General features: G+C 48.9%; 1 protein-coding gene across 5 annotated transcripts in view; it reads right to left on the reverse strand.

Annotated features, from left to right (window-relative positions):
• Window positions 828–25832, reverse strand: part of WDR45B (WD repeat domain 45B) — a 33883-nt gene continuing 8878 nt past the window's right edge. Inside the window, exons 1-10 of one of the 5 annotated variants that reach the window (XM_047436413.1) lie at window positions 15797–16691; window positions 13470–13557; window positions 13075–13274; window positions 11853–12028; window positions 11655–11749; window positions 7875–8065; window positions 5309–5394; window positions 3562–3663; window positions 2790–2911; window positions 828–2291 (exon numbers count right to left, since the gene is read on the reverse strand). In XM_047436413.1, the coding sequence (XP_047292369.1) occupies window positions 2185–2291; window positions 2790–2911; window positions 3562–3663; window positions 5309–5394; window positions 7875–8065; window positions 11655–11727 (681 nt within the window). In that variant the 5' untranslated portion in view covers window positions 11728–11749; window positions 11853–12028; window positions 13075–13274; window positions 13470–13557; window positions 15797–16691 and the 3' untranslated portion in view covers window positions 828–2184. Of the gene's footprint in view, window positions 2292–2789; window positions 2912–3561; window positions 3664–5308; window positions 5395–7874; window positions 8066–11654; window positions 11750–11852; window positions 12029–13074; window positions 13275–13469; window positions 13558–15796; window positions 16692–17186; window positions 17289–25832 lie in introns of those variants that run through there. The other 4 variants (NM_019613.4, XM_047436412.1, XM_005256377.6 and 1 more) reach the window with 4 other exon arrangements.

Here is a 25832-nt window from a genome sequence, read left to right on the forward strand (position 1 = left end):
CCGTGCAGGCCCTCGCCACGTTCCTGGTGAACGGGCCTGTGACACAGCCCCGCCGTCCGCATCAGTTCTGAGGCTGTTCACGTGCACTGCGAGAAAACCCACCCTTCTTGCATGCATTTCCCCCAGATTCATGTTTATCAACTGGTAATTACGCTCCTACTCCCCCACCCAGAGTCAGATCTCAAGTGTTAGACAAGCCAGGGTGACGCCGGCTCACTTGAAGCTGCCACTTCAACATGCAGGGACATTGCTGCTGCCAGCCACCCTCCACCTCCACAGGCCAGCAGGAGCCTCAGACCTCCCAGAGCCACACAGGCCTCCTACAGATGCATTTCCTCCCTCCCTCCTCCAGAGGTGCCCTTGGGGCACAGGGAGAGAGGAGGGCAGGCCGCCCCGTCCCGACACAGGGAGAGAGGAGGGCAGGCCGTCCCATCCCCGACACAGGGAGAGAGGAGGGCAGGCCGCCCCGTCCCGCCACAGGGAGTGAGGAGGGCAGGCCGCCCCGTCCCGCCACAGGGAGTGAGGAGGGCAGGCCGCCCCGTCCCGCCACAGGGAGTGAGGAGGGCAGGCCGCCCCGTCCCGACACAGGGAGTGAGGAGGGCAGGCTGTCCTGTCCCGACACAGGGAATGAGGAGGGCAGGCTGTCCTGTCCCGACACAGGGAGTGAAGCTCCAGGCTCCGCACCCAGTGACCCTGGCTTCCACCTTGTCCTGTCACAGGCCGGCGCCTCTTCAGGCCCACAGGCTGTTCTGAAGCCTACACTCCAACCAGATTCTCACAGCAAGGGGAAGAGTGTTTGGCTTCATAACACACAATTCTACTTCCCATTACAGGTCCAGACTACAACAAAATTAGTCACTTTTATTTAAAAGAAACATTACAAATAAGTGTGCAAAATTAAACATCATGATTAAATACACATGAAAGGAACATGCATACTTTACAGCAACATCCACAGAGAATTAGCTGATTACATGACAGTGACAGTAAAGAACTAAAGAAACCGGCAAAACCGAGAACTCGCTGCTATGCAGGTTTTACATGTTTGCAATCTGAAATCAAAACCATAAAATAGAGTTTAACGGGAATTTAAGAAAATTAAATATATATCCCAAGTAGCTGACAATGTAGAGCCCATAACCTAGTTACCAAATGTTAAAAAAAGTTATGTGCCTCTCCTTCCCAAAATGTTAGTGTGTAGCTATTCTTACAAATGAGGGGAGGGGAGACGGTGGACCTGGGGGCTCGGAGGCCAGACCAGGGCATTTCCCTCCACACCAGCGGGAACTGCATGGACCCTCCCAGACCCTGCTCTGGCAGACGACCCCGAAGTTAAAGGATGTTTTCCCCATAACGAATGTTCAAAGTTCGTGCATCACTCTGCTGTTCCCTACACATAACCGGGAAACAGGTTTAATCCAAAATGTAACCAGGAGACCCCCCGTCCCCGCCCCGCACACGCCTGAGGTGTGACGGCTCGGCTTCTAGAGTGGCCTGGTGTCTGCCTCATTCTAATGGCCCCAACGGAGACGGGGACGCCACGCACGGGCACAGGTGACGTCACGGGCACAGATGACCACGTTGCGGGTACGGAGAAGACCACAGGCTGGGCTCACACGAGGGGAAACATTCACACTGTGTTCTCTCTACAGGGTCAGGTCATTTTTCTTCATGTTCGGGCGGGAAAAGGAATTCCTTTCTCCTTTTCTAAGGCAAGCTGCTGGTGTTGTATTCAATCTGCTTATCATGTAAGAACTTACATCTGCACACTTGTTCACTCCCCCGCTGCAGACTCAGTAAGAACGACGGAATCTGCTGCAAAAACAAACCTGAACTCGTCCACCCTCTCAGCCCAGTCCCCAGGTCCGTATGGAGCCCCCGTCAGTGTGAGGATGCGGCGGAGCCACTGAAGCTAACGTCACAGCTGAACTCATGGGAACAGCCAGTGGCCGCCAGTCGAGCTGGTCACAGCCACTGAGTTACCTACGGTGCCTTGATGATGATTCTCTCTTTAATACTGGAAATGGGAGTCCTTAGGAAAGCAGACAACCACGTATGGCTTCGAGACCAAGGTCCCTGGGCAGCCCCTCCAGCCCGTGGCCCAGGAGGCCCCTGGGGCACTGGCACCAGCCCCGAGAGTCTGAAGGCGGCAGGTGGTGGGTGCTGTGGCGCCCCCAGCTGGAGTCACAGCTTGTCATCGGTCATCTCTAGAAACTGCGCGTAGACATCTCGGATGCACTCCCCCTTGGGGTTGAACAGGAATTTGTAGTAGCTGCCGTCTGCACAAATTGCTGGGATAGAAGGAGACCATTTTACCTGTGTGTTTCTTTCCCTCAAGTTAAAAGCAACGAGTCCCACTGAGCTGAACTGCAAAGGGCCTCTTGGAGCCAGGCAGCTGCTCTGAAAGCCCTGAAAGGCCCCAGGGTCCCCACTGAATGCGTTCGGTCGGCACCGTGGCCGGGAATCCTGACTGTCTTGGTGTGAGCATCTAATCACCCGGTGTTGGCTACAGGGTTAAGAAACATTCTTGGTCATCTATACAAACATTGGAAGACCTGTCCCTGTGATTTCCTGGGGGAAACTGGAGGGATGGGGGCTGAAGACATCCCAAATGGCCGTGCAGACCGTAAGCGGGACACACTGAGCCCACAGGAGAAATAAGGGGAACTGGGCGGCCATCGGTGCCACAGCGCGGTGCTGGGACGTCCATGGGAAGTTAGGTCTGACGCTCAGTGGATGGAGCCCAGGTGGGGCGGGTGGGGACGTTCTCTCCAGGAAGGACCACTCACCAATGACGGCGTTTGGCTCTGTTCCAAAGGCACAAATGCACGGAGAGCCTGAGGGAACCTGAAACTTGGAGAAACTCCACTTGGAACTGAAGTATTTTGGAAGGAAACTGGCTGAGGCCAAACTGTGAAGACAAGAAAAGAAAGGGTGGTTCAAAGTTTACAGGAAAAAAAATCACCTGCGTAAGCTCAGAATACGCTGCTGAAAATACGAAAATGCTCCTTCATATGGTTTGAGCTTTAATGAATTTTTTTTTTGCCATGCATGACAAAGCCTGTTGTACAATTTTATTTAAAAAAAAAATTTTTTTTTTTGAGACGGAGTCTCGCTCTGTAGCCCAGGCTGGAGTGCAGGGGCGCAATCTCGGCTCACTGCAGCCTCCACCTCCCGGCTTCAAGCGATTCTCCTGCCTCAGCCTCCCGAGTAGCTGGGACTACAGGCACCCGCCACCACGCCCGGCTAGTTTTTGTTTTTTAGTAGAGATGGGGTTTCACCATGTTAGCCAGGATGGTCTCGAACTCCTGACCTCAGGTGATCTGCCCACCTCGGCCTCCCAAAGTGCTGGGATTACAGGCATGAGCCACTGTGCCCAGCCTGCACTGATTTTTAAACCCCAACAAATATAAAATTAAATGAAAAAGATTTCAGCGCTGATAGCATATGAGGTCTGTCCACACCACCCTGCTGGGGTGGGGGGCCTGTCCCGTCCACACTGAAACACTGGGGACTCCTCTCATCCCCCGGCTTTTCCCCAGCAGGCATCCTAACACCTACCTGGACTGTTTATTCCTTTTTGGATCTTCAGCTGCAAAAATATGCACTGTGCCGTGGTCGCTGGATACGCAGATGAGGGACGCATCCTGATTGAAGTTGATGCTGCAGAGAAAACCAGCACAGCTCAGGCCTTGTGTGGATGTGGAGGAGTCCAGAGACTTAACCCACAGCACTTGTCGACACTGTGGAACACCTCAACATTCCCACTCTGGAGGTGCCAATTCTGAATACTGCCCTTTCTTTAACAAGCCGACAACCATCCCCACAGCACCACAGGTTGAAGCCACAAAGCCACAGCCACAATCCAGTGTATCACGGCAAGTTTTCCTTGGGTGCCCCACAAATGCAGCTGATGAGCTGTGTGTCTGGGAGAGGGAAGGGACTTCTTGCAGACCACACCCCCAACATGCCGCTCAGGGCTGCTCTCACAAGACTCGGGTGAGAAACACACATTCTCTCCAATGATCCTGGCCTCAGGAAGGTGCAGGCTGCCCCTATGGAGGTCAGCTGGGCTGGGGCAGGCATTGGCCGTGTGCTGTCTGTTCTAGGAGCAGACAGGGATGTGCTATGCACACCACAAGGCCCAGGACCTCACAGATAAAGCTGCCGTATTTATAAATTAATTACATTTTCTTTCTTTTTTTTTTTTTTGAGACAGAGTCTCGCTCTCTTGCCCAGGATAGAGCGCAGTAGCACGACCTTGGCTCACTGCAACCTCCACCTCCCAGGTTCAAGCGATCCTCCTGCCTCAGCCCTGCCTAGTAGCTGGGATTACAGGCACACGCCACCACGCCCAGCTAATTTTTGTATTTTTAGTAGAGATGGGGTTTCGCCATGCTGGCCAGGCTGGTCTCGAACTCCTGACCTCAGGTGATCCACCTGCCTCAGCCTCCCAAAATGCTGGGATTACAGGCGGGAGCCACTGCGCCCGGCTATATTAATTACATTTTCATCTCAAAGACCCAAATGCTGCTCAATACTAGCCAAGGGGGAGGCACCAGGCCTCCTGGCCGTGGCCACAGGGCATGAGATGCTACCCAAGTAGGGCTTCAGCACTAGACACCCGGGGGGCTGTAGGGACACCACTGTGGGGCGGCAGTGTGGCCTCTCAGACTGTAACAGGCTGGAATCAGACAAACCAACATGGTCTCCAGCATTGCCTTAAACACAAGCCAGAGCGCTGGTGACGAGATGAAACTGGCAAAAACACCAGAAAGACTAAAAATAAACAGGGATGAACCCAAGCCCGCCAGCCAGGGCAGCAGCGAGACCCCTCTACAAAAACACAACAATTAGCCGGGCGTGGTGGTGCACAACTGTGGTCCCAGCTGCTCAGGAGGCTGAGGCAGGAGAATCGCTTGGGCCCAGGTCGAGGCTGTAGTGAGCTGTGATAGCGTCACTGCACTCCAGCCTGGGCGACAGAGCAAGACCTTCCCTCAAAATAAAAACCCCAAAAAAACAACAAAAAAAACCCACCAACAACAAAAACCATCAAATACTAATAAATGCTGAAGCAGGGTTAATTATGACATTCTTTCTACTTCTGTGTAATTTCCCACGATAAAAACTTAAAGTTAATCACAATTTAAAAAGCTGAAACCCAACCCCCTAGCAGCCCAAGCTTCTCCCTCCTCTGGCCTTATTCGGGGGAGGGTGGCTGCTCCTACCCCCTCTCCCAAATCCCAAAGGCCCACTTCCGTGCTGTCAGCCCGAAGTTCTTCTCCGGTGAAGTTGGAGGTGCCCTTACCAGTAAATATTGGCTGCTTGAGATCCTCTTCGCAGTTCCTGGATTAAATGCCCTGATGAAGTATCAAATATTCTTATAAGCGTCCCCTTTGAAAAACAGTGAAGTGTTTCATTATCAAAGATTCAAAACTTTTTCGTTAGTTTTTGAAATGACTCACATTCACAAATCCATTAGTCCACACAAGCCTTTCTCAAACTCACCCACATCATCTACTACTTAACTTTCTCCTCCAACTGCCAGCACACAGTTGTGCCCCTGAGAACGAGTTGGTTGGTGGCTCCTGGTCCCACGGCACTGGGCACAAGTCAAGAGAGGCTTCCAGAGACAACCTCCTGACCGGGCAGGGTGGACTGACCCTGGATGCCCGCATCCCTGGCTGAGACCCAGGAGGAACACCCAGGCCCAGGCTCCCTGCTCCTGCTACACAGGGAGCTCATCTGAGAAGCACTGTCCGAATCCTAAGTCCCTCAGATAGCTAGGAAAAGCAGCACGGGAATCCGGCCATCAAAAAGGTGAGGCAAAAAAAAAAAAATAAAAGGACTTAAACCCATCCATGTCAGCTATGCTGGCTTTCCCAAGAAAGAGGTGCCCAAGACCTCAGGGAAGTTTTTAACATCTCCTCCAGAACGAGGAGGACTCTTCAGCTGATTCTGACAGCTGGGAAAACGAGAACTGCTGCATCTTTTGTCAAACACTCTGACAACATCCAACAAAAAATCTTTATATCCTTCAACCCAGCAGCCCCTACTCCTGGGGGTGCAGTAAGGAGCCAGCTTGTGGGGGACAAGGCAGGAGCAGCCTCACGGGGTGACTGCCGACAGCACGGGATGGGTCACAGATGTTGCAAGGCTCTGCGTAATCCCATCTACCTGGCTAACCCGGAGGGCACCGCTGCGGCTAAGAAAGCAGGAAGCAGAGAAGCATCCACATTTGTAACGGGGATTCTATCTAAAGAAGAAAAGTTGCAGGGAGTGGGGATGGAGAATCTAAAGATAAAAAGGGTAAGAAAAAATGTACCAAAAATACAGAGGAACCGCATTTCTAATTCATACAAAATTATATCTATTTTGTTGCTAATATGATACCATTCTAAAAAATACTACCTAAAGGGCTGGGTGCGGTGGCTCACGCCTGTAATCCCAGCACTTTGGGAGGCTGAGGCGGGTGGATCACCTGAGGTCGGGAGTTCCAAGCCAGCCTGACCAACATGGTGAAACCTCGTCTCTACTAAAAATACAAACATTAGCCAGGCATGGCGGTGGGTGCCTGTCACCCAGCTACTCGGGAGGTGGAGGCAGGAGAATCGCTGGCACCCAGGAGGCGGAGGTGGCAGTGAGCTGAGATCACGCCACTGCACTCCAGCCTGGGTGACAGAGCAAAACTCAATCTCAAAAAACAAAACAAAACAAAACAAAAACTACCTAGAAATAACTAAACCTGTTCTCAGCTGAGTCCCAGGAGTGAGCGGGACACGCCCCAAACCGCGTGTCCCCACGTGCTGAGGAGTGACCCTGGCACTGGCACCGCGTGAAAGGGTAGGAGCAGGGCCGCACTGAACCTCAGTGCACTGTGCCCACAAACGGATACCATCACCGGCTTGCGGTCTCACCTCCTTAACAATTTATAATTTCCTACAAAGTAACACCGGGTTTGCAGTCTTCAATGAAAACTATAGTACAAGATACCAATTTTCTTTGTAAAAATCTGAATTCAGGCAAAAAGAAGTATAAAGAACCCCAGATTTAAAATTATTTTAAAAAATTAACAGTTCTTCTGACCTCGCAAATCAAAGGACAATGTGTCCAATACGTCAATATTTTCAGTTACAATCTGGTGGTAATTCAATGAAGACACGTTACTAAGCAGGTAAAAAAGGGTTTTGAGCTGTGTGTTATCAGGCTGTGAAGACAGGAGCACAGAAGTTGAGTGGTTCTGCAAAATCTATGAGAATATGACAAAGCTGTCATATCTGATCACTGTAATCAACTTGGATGTGGACGTATTTTTGTTTCTTTTTTTTTTTTTTTTTGAGACGGAGTCTCACTCTGTCACCCGGGCTGCAGTGTAGTGGCATGATCTCAGCTCACTGCAATCTCCACCTCCTGGGTTCAAGTGATTCTCCTGCCTTAGCCTTCCGAGTAGCTGGGATTACAGGTACACACCACCATGCCTGGCTAATTTTTGTATTTTTAGTAGAGACGGGGTTTCACCATCTTGGCCAGGCTGGTTTCGAACATCTGACCTCAAGTGATCCGCCTGCCTTGGCCTCCCAAATTGCTGGGATTACAGGTTTAGCCACTGCCCCTGGCCCTGTTTCTTTGGCTTATCATATTTTACAAGACACTGCTTTGTAAATAATTAGAAATAAAACCAGTCCCTGGGCACAAGACGACCTGTGAAGACTTCAACCTGTCTGATGACATGACCAGCCAGGTCCACAGGCCCCTGAGGGGCTCCAGGTTGGGGCAGGCCCACTGCCTTTTGAGTCTTGATACAGGGAATGGCCATTTTGCTGAGCCTGCTGCTCCAGGAGGCACAACACCAACAAGGTGAGTGGCACACTTACTTTCTCGGATGCAGTTGCAATTCTTGTTCCCTGCAGGTTGAGTGCAATGCAGCTCAGGACACCCTCGTGTGCAGGAATGTCCACGGGTGGCTTCTCCGTGCTGGCCAGGTCCACAAGCTGCACATGGCCCGTGTGCGTGCCCGGAAAGGCCAGGAGGGAGTTGTTACTATTGGGACAAAGGACACAGAGGCCTGCGTGGAGACAGAGGACACCAATCAAGAACTGCCTTTGATTTCTCACAGCCAAAGTCCACTTTCTGCCCCCAAAGTTCTCCGAAAAAATAGATGTATATCATTTATAAATATCAGAACCACAAATTCAATTTAAAGATTTTTCATTGTAAATAAAGAGTATGAGAGGGCTAAGCAAAGCTACCTCGCATGAGACCTCCTCATAATCAAGACATCTGCTGAACAACTTTACCAACTGTCCATCCATCATGGTACGCGCTACCGAAAATGCAATGCAAAATTAACGACTTTACCAACTGTCCGTCCGTCAGGGTACACGCCACCGAAAATGCAATGCAAAATTATAAAATTTAAAAGCTGCTCCATCAGCAACAGCGTAAAAATATTAAAAAACGGAGGAATAAGTTAACAGATGTACAAGACCTATCCATGGACTGTAACATCTTGCAAAGGAAGACCACAGAAGATCTGAGAGAGAGCTGGTCTTGTGATCGTGGGCTGGAAGATTGGCTATTACTATCTAACTCATCTACAGTCAGTGTGATCACAGCTAACCTCTCAGAAAGGGTTCTTGAAGAAAGACAAGCTGATACTAAGAATTATAAGGAAAAATAAAGGCACTGGAACAGCCCAAATTTTTTATTTTTTTGAGACGGAGCCTGGCCCTGTCACCCAGGCTGGAGTGTACAGTGGCGTGATCTCGGCTCACTGCAAGCTCCGCCTCCCAGGTTCACGCCGTTCTCCTGCCTCAGCCTCCCGAGTAGCTGGGACTACAGCCACCTGCCACCATGTCCAGCTAATTTTTTGTATTTTTAGTAGAGATGGGATTTCACCATATTAGCCAGGATGGTCTCAATCTCCTGACCTTGTGATCCACCTGCCTTGGCCTCCCACAGTGCTGCGATTACAGGCATGACCAAAAATTTTTTTTTTTTTTGTAAAGTAAGAAGATTGCAAGACTTATATTACCTAATTTCAGATTTACTTTAAACCTCTTATCAAGGCAGGATGGTACTGGGATAAAGACAGAAACACAGATCAATGGAAGAGAACAAAAAGTCCAGAAAAAAAACCTTGTATTTATTTAATCAAAACAAAGGTACCAAGCTTAGATATCCACATAGAACAGAAAGGAACCCAGGCGTGTGCCTCACTCTGAATACAAAATGTACTTGAAATGGATCGAAGATTTAACTTTAGATGAAAAGCTACCAAATGTGTAGAAGAAAACATAAAAGAAATCTTTTAGCAATACTTGCAAAAGTGTGCCAGGGAAAAGGCTAAATCTACAACATATAAAGAATTCTTACGGCCGGGCACAGTGGCTCACGCCTGTAATCCCAGCACTTTGGGAGGCCAAGGAAGGCGGATCACCTGAGGTCAGGAGTTTGAGACCAGCCAACATAATGAAACCCCGTCTCTACTAAAAATACAGAAATTATCCAGGCGTGGTGGCGGGTGCCTGTAATCCCAGCTACTTGGGGGACTGAGGCAGGAGAATCGCTTGAACCCAGGAGGCGGAGGTTGCAGTAAGCTGAGATCGCACCACTGCACTCCAGCCTGGGCAACAGAGCGAGACTCTATCTCCAAAAAAAAAAAAAAAACAAACAAAAAAAATGGGGCTGGGCGCGGTGGCTCACGCCTGTAATCCCAGCACTTTGGGAGGCCGAGGCAGGTGGATCACGAGGTCAGGAGATCAAGACCAGCCTGGCCAACATGGTAAAACCCCGTCTCTACTAAAAATACAAAAATTAGCCAGGCATGGTGGTGTGCCTGTAGTCCCAGCTACTCAGGAGGCTGAGGTGGGAGAACTGCTTGAACCTGGGAGGCAGAGGCTGCAGTGAGCCGAGATCATGCCACTGCACTCCAGCTTGGGCAACAGAGGAAGACCCCATCTCATATTAAAAAAAAAAAAAAAAAATTCTTACATCTCATTATAAGATAAACAACCGGCTAAAAAATGGGCAAAACATCTGGGGCACTTCCCAAAAGATCTCGAAAGGGAAGAACCACAGGGAAAGATGTCGCCACCGCCAGTCCTCAGAGAAATGCAAACCAAAACCACAAGGAGATGCCGTTACCAGTGAGATATCATCACACACGCACGGAACGGCTACAGCTAGAAAGACCGACAATGCTGGAACACTCATAAATCATGGATGAGACGCAAGGGGACACAGCCACTCTGGAAAATAAACGGCCGCATTTTATAGTCAGACACAACCACAACATGGTTGTGACCGGGCAGTCGAACCCTCAGGATCGACCCAAGAGACATGAAACTACCCACACAAAGGCTGCTATGGGAACATGCACGACACTCCTCCTTCCTAATAGCCAAAACACGGCCGAAGGGACCAACAAAGTAACACACATACACACACACAGAGGACAAATACATGTAAAAAAACAAAACCTGAGGGTTGAGTGGGGAGGGGACTGTCCCAAGAAAGTTTTCCAGGAGAAGAGACTGTTCTTTTTTTCTTTAGTCTCACTCTGTCGCCCAGGCGGGAGTGCAGTGGCACAATCTCGGCTCACCGCAAGCTCCGCCTCCCGGGTTCAAGCAATTCTCCTGCCTCAGCCTCCCAAGTAGCTGGGACTATGGGCACCCGCCACCACATCCAGCTAAGTTTTGTATGTTTAGTAGAGATGAGGTTTCACCACGTTGACCAGGATGCTCTCTATCTCCTGACCTCGTGATCCGCCCGCCTTGGCCTCCTAAAGTGCTGGGATTACAGGCGTGAGCCACTGCGCCCGGCCGACTGTTCTGTCTTGACTGTGACGGTGGCTACACAACTGTTTACAATGACGGAAATTTATTGAAGTTTTTTTTTTTTGAGATAGAGTCTTGCTCTATCGCCCAGGCTGGAGTGCAATGGTGTGATCTCGGCTCACTGCGACCTCTACCTCCTGGGTTCAAGTGATTCTCCTGCCTCAGCCTCCCAAGTAGCTGGGACTACAGGTGCCCGCCACCACGCCCGGCTAATTTTTTGTATTTTTAGTAGAGACAGGGTTTCACCGTGTTAGCCAGGATGGTCTTAATCTCCTGACCTTGTGATCCGCCCGCCTCGGCCTCCCAAAGTGCTGGGATTACAGGAGTGAGCCACCGCGCCCGGCCACAAATGGTATTCTTAAAACGAGTCAGTTTTTTGTAAATTTTACCCTAACAAAGCCAGAGGCAAAACCCCCAATATAAAAAGATATGAAGATGGTACAATAAATGACAAAGTCAAACACAATCAATCCTCCAATTCAGAAGACAAGGGAAGGAAAGGCTTGAGTCCAGAACTCAGTGGCTCCCGAAGTGGTGAAAACATAGGTTCCTGGTTCACTGTGGAGGTTCTGAGAGCCCATAGTCACTGGGTGGGAGGGGACAGGGGCCCCCACTCTGTGACTCTGGTCAGAAGGTAGTTTGGGGATGCTGAGCTGTGGGTCCTGGAAGGTCCATCTCCTCTGGAGGCCCCTCTGTGCTCAGGATTGCTCTCGCCAAGCACTTTGCTCAGAGACCTGCTTGGAGAAGGGAGTGCCCAGCACAGGCATCTCCATGTGGACCCATTTCCCATCGCCACCCGTCTGCTCAATCTCTCACCTTTGGGGTTATAGCAGGTTTCGAAGACGTGCAACTGATGGGGATTGTGTGTGAATGTGAACACCTTAATCATGGAGTCCAAAACCACCACAATTCTGGAAAGAAAAACATGATCAGAGTTGCTTTCCTCAAGAGTCAAACCCAAACATTTTATGCTCCTGTTCTTATCATACTGAAACTGAGAAACACTGAAAATACCACACAGAAAAGGAGTGTTCCTGAAGAAAAAGCTCTGGAGGCAGGTAGCCAGCGCCAGGCCTGGAGCTCGGCGAGTGCACGTGGGCTGGCTCTGCTGAGGGAGTGCTTCTCGCCTGGGTGAAGGTCAGCCTAAGAGACGTCTCTGAGGTTCAGAGAGACATCATCAAACACTCCATCTAGGTTCAGAACCGAGCAAAACAGACAGAAGTGATATTTTTATGCTACTGTGTCTGGAAAAAATAAGAAAAGTCTGAAAGTAGAATATCCTCGATCTGGCTCAAGCGTTTGCATTATTATTATTATTACTTTTTTTTTATAGATGGAGTCTCACTCTGTCGCTCAGGCTGGAGTGCAGTGGCACAACCTCAGCTCACTGCAACCTCCACCTCCAGTTCAAGCGATTCTCCTGCCTCAGCCTCCTGAGTAGGTGGGATTACAGGCGTGCACCACCATGCCCAGCTAATTTTTGTATTTTTAGTAGAGATGGGGTTTCACTAGGTTGGCCAGGCTGGTCTCTAACTCCTGACCTTGTGATCCGCCTGCCTCAGCCTCCCAAAGTGCTGGGATTACAGGCATGAGCCACGGTGCCCGGCCACATTTGCATTACTAAGGGCCTTTAAATATTGACGTTATTAAAATGACAAACCCACACAAAAATGCAGGAAAGTTGGCCGGGCGCAGTGGCTCACACCTGTAATCCCAGCACTTTGGGAGGCTGAGGCGGGTGGATCATGAGGTCAAGGGATCAAGACCATCCTGGCCAACATGGTGAAACCCTGTCTCTACTAAAGATACAAAATCAGCCAGGCTTGGTGGTGTGCGCCTGTAGTCCCAGCTACTCCGGAGGCTGAGGCAGGAATTGCTTGAACCCGGGAGGCAGAGGTTACAGTGAACTGAGATTGTGCCACTGCACTCCAGTCTGGCAACAGAGCAAGACTCTATCTCCCAAAAAAAAAAAAAAAAAAAAAAAAAGGGCAGGGAGGTGAAATGACCTCTGTTTACATCCAACTTGCTCGGCTGCTGTCCTCCCACAGCCGACAGAGATGGAAATCTTAGAGTAAAATATGCAAATCATATTAAATAAAAACCCAAATGAACGAACTCTGCGCTATCTTGCTCAACGTACTAGGACAAACTTCCATATTCCCCCTAAACGCCCCTGAGACCATGGCTGACAGAACCACCTGCTACTTTCAACACAGAAAATTCAATTTTCCTTTACCTTCAAACCGAAAACCTTTATTGAGAGGCAGCATTTGGCAAAGCAGGGGCTAAAAGCCCAGGGTAATTCAAGGCTCAAAACTCATGTCCTCAGCTCTGCACATGTCGGAATGGGACATAACTCACCACGGTGAGACCCACTGGCTGGTCCACTGTGGCGCACGTCATCCACGCCACCACCTACTTACCTCCAGCGGAGCCCTGGAAACAAACACAATTCGCTGCCTTTCTTGCAGCAATATAAATAATCCTTATATCCTTATGGTCATAAAAACCAGGACCAACATTTTAATACATCATTTCCTAAACATTTTTCTGCCAAAAATAGAAAAGTATTTCAGCCATCTTTTGAGAAAGTGAAATACCACTTTAAAAAATTACTGACACCAAACCCACCTATCTCGCCGCAGCTTGACTGCCTTGACTTCTGTAGAAAATTCTATTTCAATAACAGTCTTCTTCTTCAGGTCATCCCAGATCATTACTGAAATATCAGAAAGAAAAGATGAATGCAGTCATCAGCAGGCCATGGCGCTGGGATGCAGCGATGCCAGCTTGGCGCCTAAGGTGTTTTCTCTTCCCACTGGCACAGCTGCGCCCACCCTCAGGCCTCAGACACACACCCGCACCTGGGAGGCCTTGGGGTGTAACTCAAACCGTGAGCTGTGCCAGGGATCCGCCCTCGGGCACCTTCCCCACTCAAAGCGTCTCCCCTTCTTGGTAGCTGGCTGCCCACTTGCTCCCTCCCCGCCCATTCCTCTCTCAGTGTGCACAGCCCGGTCCTGTTCTCAGGTGACCCACTCACTGGCCTCACACACAGGCACGCTAAGCGCATTCATCTCTCTCTGCCAACCATTGCTCCCTCCCCGTCCGTTCCTCTCTCAGTGCGCACAGCCCGGTCCCGGTCTCAGGCGACCCACTGGCCTCGCACACAGGCGCGCTGAGCGCGTTCATCTCTCTCTGCCAACCCTTGCCCTTGCCTGGTTACGTTCCTCTCCCTGACCTTCCTTGATTCCACCCGACTGAGCCCATAGGCAAGCCTGACCATAGGTACTGATGTTAAAAGTGCTGCAAATAAACCTGCATCAGGAAGGGAGGTTTCAGTTTTAAAGTGAAATCAGAGGGACACAAATCAGGGCCAACAAGTTCCTCACTCCACTCAAGGTCCTGGGTTGTTCTTCCTCTTTTTCTGTTTTTCTTTTTGAGACAGGGTCTCATTCTCTCGCCCAGGCTGGAGTGCGGTGGCGCAATCTTGGCTCACTACAGCCTTGACCTCCCAGGCTCAAGAGATTCTCCCACGTCAGCTTCCCAAATGGCTGGGACTACAGGCATGCACTACCATGCCCAGCTAAGTTTTGTATTTTTGGTAGAGATGGGGTTTTACCATGTTGTCCAGGCTGGTCTCGAACTTCTGGGCTGAAGTGATCTGCCCACCTCAACTTCCCAAAGTGCTAGGACTGCACGTGTGAGCCACTGCACCCAGCCCCTGCTCCTTTTTAAGTTCAAAATTTCTTCTGTCTTGTTTGCCTGCTAACATTGCAACATTCTATTAGCATAAATTAGCAGTTTGTGTTCTAAGGGCTAATGTACCGACAAGCTTTAGGGATGAGAATGCCAACCAGCACCGTGCTTTTGAAGAACCACAGGAGGGATGGGTGCGGTGGCTCACGCCTGTAATCCCAGCACTTTGGGAGGCTGGGGTGTGAGATCGCTTGAGGCCAAGAGTTCAAGACCAGCCTGGGCAACATAGTGAGACTCCCATTTCTGAAAAAAAAAGTTATTAAAAATTAGTCACAGCTACTCAGGTAGAGTCCAGGAGTCTGAGGCTGCAGTGAGCTATGATCACCCCACTGCACTCCAAGCTGGGCAACAGAGGGAGACCCTGTCTCAAAAAAACACACAAAAAACACAGCTGGGTGTGATGGCTCACACCTGTAATCCCAGCGCTTTGGGAGGCAGAGGCAGGCGGATCAATGGAGCTCAGGAGTTTGAGACCAGCGTGGGCAACATGTGGAAACGCCGTCTCTACTAAAAACACAAAAGGTAGCCGGGTGTGGTGGGTGCTCCGGTACTCCCAGCTACTCGGGAGGCTGAGGCGGAAGGATCACCTGAGCCTGGGGAGGTAGAAGCTGCAGTGAGCCAGGACTGCGCAACTGCATTCCAGCCTGGGCAACACAGTGAGACCCTGTCTCAAAACTAAATAAATAAAAATCAAGTTTACTAGTAAAAAAAAGTACCTTTAAACGCTACAAAAAGTACATTTACTCAAAAACCTGCTGAATACTGCTTTCTTCTAAGTCTGTGAAGTTTCTAAGGCTTTTTCACCTCTTAGAAACTTTATAATGAGAATGAGACCTGAGATTATCTCATACAAATGGCTCCCTTGTTAGCACCTGGGGTCCCCCAGCAGTGCCAGAGGTAGGGCAAGGGAGGCGGCCCTCTAGGCCTCCTGACTTCCATCTATAAGCTTCCTTTCCTCCTTAATGGTCAATGAAGTTCTCCATGACAAGACACAGACCAATTCACCAGCAGGATTTCTGCCCATCCCCAATTAGCCAGGGCAAAGTCATTCTCCTGCAAATCCTGCCCTGCTCTCTCTGTGGAACCTCCGCTGTCCCTTCTGGGTGGGCTCCTCCAGAGGACTCACAAGCCACAGGCCTCTGCCCCTCTGGGCTATGCTAGCAGCCACTCTCAACTCTGCTTTAAAGCTGGCACAGACAAACCTTGTGAGATTACAGAACCGCTCAAAGGCCAAGATCTCAAGCCCTGTCTTCCACTGTTTTTCCTACCGATAATCTCTTCCCATTTCATTTCTCTGTTCCTAATTCCAAAACAAAAATAAATGTATCAGGCAGGGCCAGTCCTCACCCGAGTGTGGTCTCTCTTCCGCACATTCACGTTCACGCAGTTCACGGGGCTCTGCTGAGAACTGTGAGCTGGGCCCCAAAGCTTGTCACGAGTCATCTGGAACCTTCTGCCTTTCCACACAATCCTTTTGTGCCTGATCTGACCTGGGCTATTCTATTCCTAAGTACGTGATATCACCCAGATCCTAGTTCACCCACTCACTTCCCATTTGGCATGCGGCGCCCCCAGAGCCCCATCCTGGTCTTGATTCTGAACTGCCTCCCTCACTGAGCCTCTCCTTCCCTCCTCACCTCCTCCCACCCTACCCACCCACCACTGGGCTCCCACTCAGTCATCCTCTGAGACCACCGGTGGCCTTCAATGTCACCAGAACCAGATGGCTTTTCTCAGGCCTCCTCCCGCCTGGCACTGGGCTCAGACGAGGATGCTTGCTCCACTTTTCCTGCCTCTCCCCATAAACGGGGGCTTCCCACACCTGCCCCATCCTCTGGTGTCTCTTCACTCACCTCATGCACTGCATCTAGACCAGAACTTTCCCAAAACACAGATCTGACGGCATCTCCTTCCTGGCCACACGTTACCTGGCATTCAAGCCTCCCCCAGATCTGCCTCCCACCTCCCCCACCCAGCCTACCTCCCGCCTCCCACCTCTTCCCTGTGTTCTGCCCTCCATTCCTGGATCTTTCGCCTTGAGCCCTCTTTCCTCAACCAACAGCGAGGTTAAGCTGGCACGAGGCACACGGCTGTCAGGAAAGCTATCTACTCCTCCCTCTACTTAAAAGGGCCAGAGCTCTTACGCCACATCATCTGCATACACACACGTACTCCCACTCCGACAAACATATCCCGAAACCCAGAGCCCAAGTGGTGTTTTGTTCCACGTGGCTATGAAACTAATGTTCCTTTAAGTCAATGGCTCTCTGTAAGAAAAAAAATCCTTCTACCTTGCTTTAAAATGAATTCATGACATTTACGACGTCAACCTAAGGTGCAGCAGGCCCGTTTTCCGTTTACTGACTGAAACGCACGTGTTCTATGACAATGCAAGCGAGTGATGCTCTTTAGGTGCTCCATCTGGGAATAGAGACCTGGTGCCCTCTTCGCCTGCTTCCTCCCCAGTGACCAGTCCTGGATATTTCACAGAACTACTAGGGAAAATCACACATGGCCACAAACATAAACGCATTCAAAAAAAGACTGGGTGGGACACGTGAGGCATGATTCTTCAATACACAATTACAGTACCTTTGTTGGGAGGGTATTTCGGCTTTTTTCCACCACCAACTAAAGCTAAATAGTTGCAGCGAAATAACATTTCAACATGGCCAACTCCTCCTTCTAGAAATTCTGAAATGATAGTTTTAAAAAGACCAATGTTACAAGTTAATATGTATATTTTACAATAAAAAAGAAAAGAGAAAGTCAAGACAGGTAACGCAGCAATTTTCTATTTTTTGTAAGAGACAAGATCTCACTGTGTTGCCCAGGCTGGAATGCAGTAGCTATTCACAGGTACAATCACAGCTCACTGCAGCCTTGAACTCCTGGGCTCACATGATCCTCCTGCCTCAGCTTCCCAAGTAGCTGGGAATACAGGACTCATTTTTTTTTTTTTTTTTTTTTTTTGAGAAGGAGTCTTGCTCTGTCACCCAGGCTAGAGTGCAGTCGCGCGATCTCGGCTTACTGCAACCTCCACCTCCTGGGTTCAAGCCACTCTCCTGCCTCAGCCTCCCCAGGTAGTTGGGATTACAAGCATGTGCCACCATGCCCAGCTAATTTTTGTATTTTTAGTAGAGATGGGGTTTCACTATGCTGGCCAGGCTGATCTCAAACTCCTGAACTCAGGCGATCAGTCTGCCTCGGCCTCCCAAAATGCTGGGACTACAGACATGAGCCACTGTGCCCGGCCTACAGGACTCATTTTTAATCAGCAATTTATATCTAACTATCGTCAGAAATGAGAAAGGTGACTGGCTAAAAAAATAGTGAGTGCTAGGTTTCCAAATTCTCTCAGTTTACTGTCATCATGTTCACTGTTTCATAAAGGCTGAGCACACAACACCCTAGGAAGCTAACTCAGCAAAATGTATGAAATACTTGAATTCACATTTCAAGAGGTGGCAAAACCTGTCAACTCCAAGACAGCATACTAAAAGCTTTAATGCTTGGGAGGCTGAGGCGGGCAGATGATGAGGTCAAGAGACTGAGACCATCTGGGCCAACATGGTGAAACGCTGTCTTTACTACAAATACAAAAATTAGCCGGCGTGGTGGCAGGCACCTGTAGTCCCAGCCACTCAGGAGCTGAGGCAGGAGAATCACTTGAACCCCGGAGGCTGAGGCTGCAGTGAGCCGAGATCACACCACTGCACTCCAGCCTGGTGACAGAGCGAGACTCTATCTCAAGATAAATAAATAAAAACAAAAATAAAAACAAACCAAAAAAACCCCACAAAACTTTAATGCAAAAGCTGAGTGACTTTTATCATTTCCTTTTTTTTTAAGAAACAGGGTCTTGCTGTGTTGCTCAGGCTTGAGTGCAGTGAAGTGATCACAGCTCACTACAGCCTCAAACTCCCGGGCTCAAGGACTCCTCCTGCTTCAGCCTCCCGAGTAGCTGGGACTACAGGCACACATCACCGCGCCTGGTTAATTTTTTCAGAAAAGTTTTTGTAGAGGCGAGGTCATACTGTATTGCCCAGGCTGGTCGTGAACTCCTGGTCTCAAACAATCCTGCCATCTCAGCCTCCCAAAATGCTGGGATTGTAAGTGTGAGCCACCGAAGTCTGAAATGCTCCCAACTGTTCATGAATTACGTAAGAGGAAAATGTCCACAAATTTTCAGAGGTCTTCCATGACAAAAGGATGACCAATGCTCTCTGAGGGGAGCAACAGGGGCACACTGATGAGAAACTCCCACGTTCTGCATGGTTCACGTAACTCAGGAGGACCATCCACCCACCCACTTCTGTGTCTGCAATGACCATGAGCTCTATCTCTCCAGTCACAGCTGCACGAAATGACTCAAAAGTTCCTCAGCTCGATCTTCGAGATATTTAAAATTCAAGGCAGCCGGGCACAGTGGCTCACATCTGTAATCCCAGCACTTTGGCAGGCAGAGGTGGGAGGACTGCTTGAGCCCAAGAGTTCAAGGCCATCCTGGGCAACATAAGGAAATCCCTTCTCTACCAAAAATAAAAATTAAAAAATTCGCCGGCCGCAGTGGCTCACGCCTGTAATCTCAGCACTTTGGGAGGCTGAGGCAGGTGGATTACTTGAGGTCAGGAGTTCGACCTGGCCAACATAGTGAAACTCCGTCTCTACTAAAAATACAAAAATTAGCTGGCTGTGGTGGCAGGCGCCTGTAATCCCAGCTATATAGGAGTCTGTGGCAGGAGAATCGCTTGAGCCCGGGAGGCAGAGGTTGCAGTGAGCAAGGATTGCACCACTGCACTCCAGCCTGGGCGAAGGAGGGAGACTCCATCTCAAAAAAAAAAAAAAAAAAACCAGCACGGGCAATGTGCTTTTGGGACATCAAACTTTTGTGCACCAAAGGACACAATCAACAGAATGAAAACACAACCTATGGAACGGCAGAGCATATTTACAAACCACACATCTGATACAGTGCGTAATATCCAGAATATATGAAGGACTTTTACAACTCAACAATAAAAAAATTAATAATCTGATTTTAAAATTGGCAAAGGATTTGAGTAGTGTTTCTTCAAAGATAATTTACAAATGGCCAACAAGTACAAAGAAAGATGCTCAACTTCATTAGGCATCAGAGACATCAAAACCAAACCACAATGAGATCCCACCACCTCATACCCATGAAGATGACTAATTTTTTTTCTTTTTTTGAGACAGTGTTGCTCAGGCAAGTGCAGTGATGAGAACAGGGCTCACTGCAGAGGATGGCTAATATTGTTTTTTAACCCAGGAAATAACAAGTACTGGCCAAGATATGAAGCTATGGGAACTCTCATGCACTGTCTGATGCAGCTGCTCTGGAAAAAAGTAGGACAGGTCCTCAAAAAATTAAAAAGAGGCTGGGCACAGCAGCTCACTCACACCTATAATCCCAGCACCCTGGGAGGCCAAGGCAGGATGATGACTTGAGGCCAGGAGTTTAAGATCAGCCTGGGCAACACAGTGAGACGCTCCCTCAATTAAAAAATAATAAAAAGGCCAGGCGTGGTGGCTCATGCCTGTTATCTCAGCACTTCGGGAGGCAAGGCAGGTGGATCACTTGAGGTCAGGAGTTTGAAACCAGCTTGGCCAACATGGTGAAACCTCGTCTCTACTAAAAATTCAAAAAAATTAGCCAGGCGTGGTGGCAGGTGCCTGTAATCCCAGCTACTTGGGAGGCTGAGGCAGGAGAATCGCTTGAACCCGGGAAGCGGACGTTGCAGTGAGCCGAGATTGTGACACTGCACGCCAGCCTGGGTGACACAGTGAGACTCCATCTCAAAAAAAAAAAAAAAAAAAAAAAAGGCTGATTTTTATAAATCAAAAAGTTACCAAATGACCAGATGCAGTGGCTCATACCCATAAACCCAACACCTTGGGAGGCCGAGGCAGGCGAATCATGAGGTCGGGCGATCAAGACCATCCTGGCCAACATGGTGAAACCCTGTCTCTACTAAAAATACAAAAATTAGCCAGGAGCGGCAGTGCACATCTGTAATCCCAGCTACTCGGGAGGCTGAGGCAGGAGAACTGCTTGAACCCGGGAGGCGGAGGCTGCAGTGAGCCGAGATCTCGCCAGTGCACTCCATCCAGCCTGGGCGACAGGGCGAGACTCTGTCTCAAAAAAAAAGAAAAAAACAAAGTTACCATATGATCCAGCAATCCCACTTCTAGTCATACAAGCAAAAGAACTCAAGGCAGGGTCTGGAAGAGATACCCGCACACCCACGCTTGTAGCAGCATCATTCACAATAGCAAAGATGCAGAAGGACCCGAGTGTCCACAGATGGAGAAATGAACAAACAGCACGTGCTCCATACGTGCAGTGATTTATTATTCAGCCTTAAACAGAAACAATATTTCTCATTTATGATTTTGTCAAGATAAGGTCTCACTATGTTGCCCAGACTGGTCTCAAACTCCTGGCCTCAAGCAATCCTCCTGCCTCAGACTCTGAAAACACTGGGATTACAGGGGTGAGCTGCGGTACCCGGCCTGAAGTTCTGACCCAGGCTGCAACAGAGATCAACCTAGAGAACACTACACTAAGTGAAATAAGCCAGGCATATATGATGGCATTCACGGGAAGTCCCTACAGCAGTCAAGTTCATGGAGACAGAAAAGTAGCACGGTGGTTACTAGGAGACAGGGGAGGCAGAATTGATGGATGTAGACTTTGGCTTCCCAAGATGAAATTCTAGAGGTCCGTTTAACAACAATGTGAATATATTCAACATTACTGATCTATGCGCTTAAAAATGGTTAAGATGGTAAATTTTATTTTACATAATTTTTTACCATAATTTTTTTTTTAAAAAATGCTGCCACTGAAGACCTTCTTTGCCCCAGGTGTCAGAAGTGTAACTATTTCCTCAATGTAGGTTCAGTAAGTTTTAGAAACACATCTGAGTGACCTGAGAATTATGTCAAGGTCACTAATGTACTCTTCAAACACTATTTAACCGAGAGACAATGTTTAGCCCTTTTATAAACTACATGATCTTAGGCTTATTAATAAAGTTATTAATGCTTGATTATATCATAAGTCTTTTCAGGTTTTTTTTTTTTTTTTGAGATGGAGTTTTGCTCTTGTCGCCCAGGATGGAGTGCAGTGGTGCGATCTTGGCTCACTGCAACCTCCACCTCCTGGGTTCAAGTGATTCTCCTGCCTCAGCCTCCCAAGTAGCTGGGATTACAGGCGCCCATCACACCCAGCTAATTTTTGTATTTTTAGTAGAGACGGCGTTTCACCATGTTGGCCAGGCTGGTCTCGAACTCCTGACCTCAGGAGATCCACCCACCTCGGCCTCCCAAAGTGCTGGGATTACAGGCATTAGCCACTGTGCGCAGCCGTCTTTTCAAGTTCTAAAAGCAACAAGTCATTCCCTTAGCAAGATGTGATTCTAGCTAATGGTTAAGTAAAGAAATGTTGGCTGGGTGCAGGGGCTGACACCTATAATCTCAGCACTCTGGGAGGCCAGGCCGAGGCAGGTGGATCCCTCAGGTCGGGAGTTCAAGACCAGCGCGACCAACATGGAAAACCCCCGTCTCTACTAAAAATACAAAACTTGCCAGGTGTGGTGGCGCATGCCTATAATCCCAGCTACTCGAGAAGTTGGGGCAGGAGAATCACTTGAACCCGGGAGGCAGAGGGTGCGGTGAGCCGAGATCGCGTCACTGCACTCTAGCCTGGGCAACAAGAGTGAAACTTCGTCTCTCAAATAAATACATAAATAAAAAATAAAAATACAAAAATCAGCCAGCTGTGTAGTCCCAGCTACTCGGGAGGCTGAGGCAGGAGAATCACTTGAACCCGGCAGGTGGAGGTTGCAGTGAGCCGAGATCACGCCACTGCACTCCAGCCTGGGTGACAGAGCAAGACTCCGTCTCAAAAAAAAAAAAAAAAAAAGAAGACAAACACAGTCAGTCACAGGCACAGTTAGCTATGCGGTCTCTGGGTTTTAAAAATGGAAAGAAAAAAAAGAAAAACAGATTTTTCAGAATCAAGTGAAGAGGCAGAGAAGGAGAGTTAAGGCCTTTCCTGGAATGAGAAGTAATCAAAGGTAAGAGCCAAACTTCAGGAATTAGAGAGGACTTCTAAACCCCGCCAAAGAGATTCTCCCATAATACCTGACCCCCACCTCCTGCAGCTGAAGAGGGGGAAAGGGTCTCCCCACAGAAAGACCAGGGTTACATTCAGAGCTTTCTATGTTCCAGATCCCAAGGGCTGGTACTGAAATATTACAAAGGATATTCGTTGTTACAGAAAAATGTAAGATACAATAAATCTTTCTGAGTTTCTCTTCAAAGGGTTTATTTAGCCTGTTAACTTCCTTATCCTTTGTTCTCGAACTCGACTTTCTTGTTCTTCCTTGCCCCTAGTTACTGTAAACAGCCTACCCGCTTCCCGTCAACTCTAATCAATAACTCACACCTGTTCCCTTGGTTACCTGTACACATTGTTCCCCTGAAACTGCACGTCTCACACGCTCCACCTCTGTACCTCACATCCCCCTCCCCTTCTATATTTAGAAAAATATGTACAAGTAGCCTATTGGGTCAGCTCAGATTGTGCAGTCCGACCCCAGCCCATAGGGGAGTGACACAGAGATAGGGACTGCGTTCAGGATAAAAACCCCCGGTCTCCTTTGTTCTCTGTGCTCTTGCCATCTTGACTGATGCAAGGGGCACCCTTCTGCAGAAGTAAATTGCCTTACTGAGAGAATTAAACTTTTGCCTGAGTGCTGGTTTTACTTCACAGCACTGAGCATTTATTTATTCCTGGAACATTTTATACCCACAAAAAGAAGAAATGCCCAAGCCTGCCCAGGATGTCAGCGTCTACATCTCTAAGGGTCCCTGGCGGTCGGACTTGTCTGTAACAGCAACTAAAATTGCAGCAATAGGTTGCGTAGGACACAAAACAGGCTCCTACTAAACATCAGCTGAGGAAAACTTGAGGTACACCCCAGTCCTTGTGGTACAGAGAAAAACCCTCTCCTCTAATCATGGTCTCTATTCTCACACAATCACCAACACAGAAGACTTCTGTGACTAAAGCAGAAACCGCACAGCAAACCCCAGCTGGTCTTCCTCTAACTCAGTTCTGACACCATCTACCTGGAGAGAGTATTAGATCCCACAGGTTGAAGGCTCAGTCCCCAAGACCGACTGCACCACACACCAGTCACAAGTTAGAACCTTCAAAACTTCTGACTGACCAGCTTCAAGTTGGGGTTCCCGTGACCCCTTCTTTGGGTTCAATTTGCTGGCACGGCTCACCGAACTCAGGGAAACACTTCCTTATGTTTACCAGTTTATAACAAAGAATATTACAAAGGATACAGATGAAGAGATGCATAGGGCAAGGTATTAGGGGAAGGACACAAAGCTTCCGTGAAGCTCTCTGAACCCCGTCTCCTTGGGATTTTATGGAAGCTTCATGATATCAGCATTCCTTTCCCAGGGGCAGAGGGTACGGCCTTCTCTGGGGAGGGTCCTGAGACCCACAATTAGAAAGGGTGGGGGTGTGGTGGTTAATGCCTGTAATCCCAGCACTCTGGGAGGCCGAGGCAGACAAATAACTTGAAGTCAAGAGTTCGAGACCAGCCTGGTCAACGTGGTGAAACCCCATCTCTACTAAAAATACAAAACAAACAAAAAAACGTAGCCAGGTGTGGTGGCATGTGCCTGTAATCCCAGCTACTTGGAAGGCTGAGGCACGAGAATCGCTTGAACCCATGAGGTGGAGGTTGCAGTGAGCCAAGATGGAGCCACTGCACTCCAGCCTGGGAGAGATTCTGTCAAAGAAGAGGGGAGGCGAGGGAAAGGGAGGGGAGGGAAAGGGAGGGGAGGGGAGAGGAGGGGAGGGGAGGGGAGGGGAGGGGAGGGGAGGGGAGGGGGGAGGAGGAAAGAAAGAAAGAAAAAAGAAAAGAAAGGAAGGAAGGTGGGGTGGTGGTGGGGAGACAGGACACGTTAGGGTGAAAGGGGGGTAGGAGAAGGTCAGAGGCCTCCCCTGAGGGCCAATATTGTAACAAAAAGACTAACCAGGTCTGTGGGAGTTACCGGCCAGGGTGAAAACCAAAATATATAATTACACCACATCTTGACAGGCCCAGACTCTCCCAACAGAGCCTGCTGCAAAACACAAGAAACTAATAAAAGAAAATGGGGAAAGGGGATGTCTGAATACTGGCATAACTTCTATTCCACTAAGAGATGCTTGAAAAATGAATCACTTTATACAAATGAGTGAAAATCAACCATTCTAGCACTTGAGGCTAATAACCTTTTTATTTTTGCCTCTGTCATGTCGTGCAGTCCCTGTTTCTCGTTCCTATTTCTGTGGAGTTTTATTTTTAAAGAAAACCTTATTTCCCATTATAAAAATTATGCATCATTTCTATAAAACAACACAGAAAAGCATAAAGTAGAAAACACTGTGAAACAACATCATTTATGTACTTTTTTTGAGACAGAGTCTCGCTCTGTCACCAGGCTGGAGTGCAGTGGCACGATCTCGGCTCACTGTAACCTCCGCCTCCTGGGTTCAAGTGATTCTCCTGCCTCAGCCTTCCAAGTAGCTGGGACTACAGGCACCCACCACCATGCCCGGCTAATTTTTTTATTTTTAGTAGAGATGGGGTTTCACCATGTTGGCCAGGATGGTCTCGATCTCCTGACCTCGTGATCCACCTGCCTCGGCCTCCTAAAGTGCTGGGATTACAGGCATGAGCCACTCTGCCTGGCCACGTATGTTCTAAACTTTGTGCATAGATATTTTGTTCCTATAACACCATCTATGCTATTCTCTACTTTCTTTTTCCTTTAACAATGCCATGGCCATCTCTCCAAATGAGGATTCAGATTGGTCTCGGCATTCTTACCGCATGAAGCACCATTTTGAGGATGTGCCACAACCACAGTAATCACCCCTTTCATGAAAGTCATTCGGGTTCTCCAATTTTCCACTCTTGGAAACAGCGTTGCAAGTAATATTGGTATACAGGCACCAAACAGTACATCTATAATGAACACAGCTTGCCAAATTACTCCACAAGGCTCTACCAATTTAACCTTCTACCACCAGGTTACCAAACTTCCCCTTTCCACCTCCTTCCCAAAGCTACCCACCACCTCTGTGTCCTCCCCACCCGCAGGAACCACCTGCTACCTACACATTGCAGGCCTCCCATT

The sequence above is a fragment of the Homo sapiens genome, chromosome 17 (assembly GCF_000001405.40).
Source record: "Homo sapiens chromosome 17, GRCh38.p14 Primary Assembly".
NCBI lineage: Eukaryota > Metazoa > Chordata > Mammalia > Primates > Hominidae > Homo > Homo sapiens.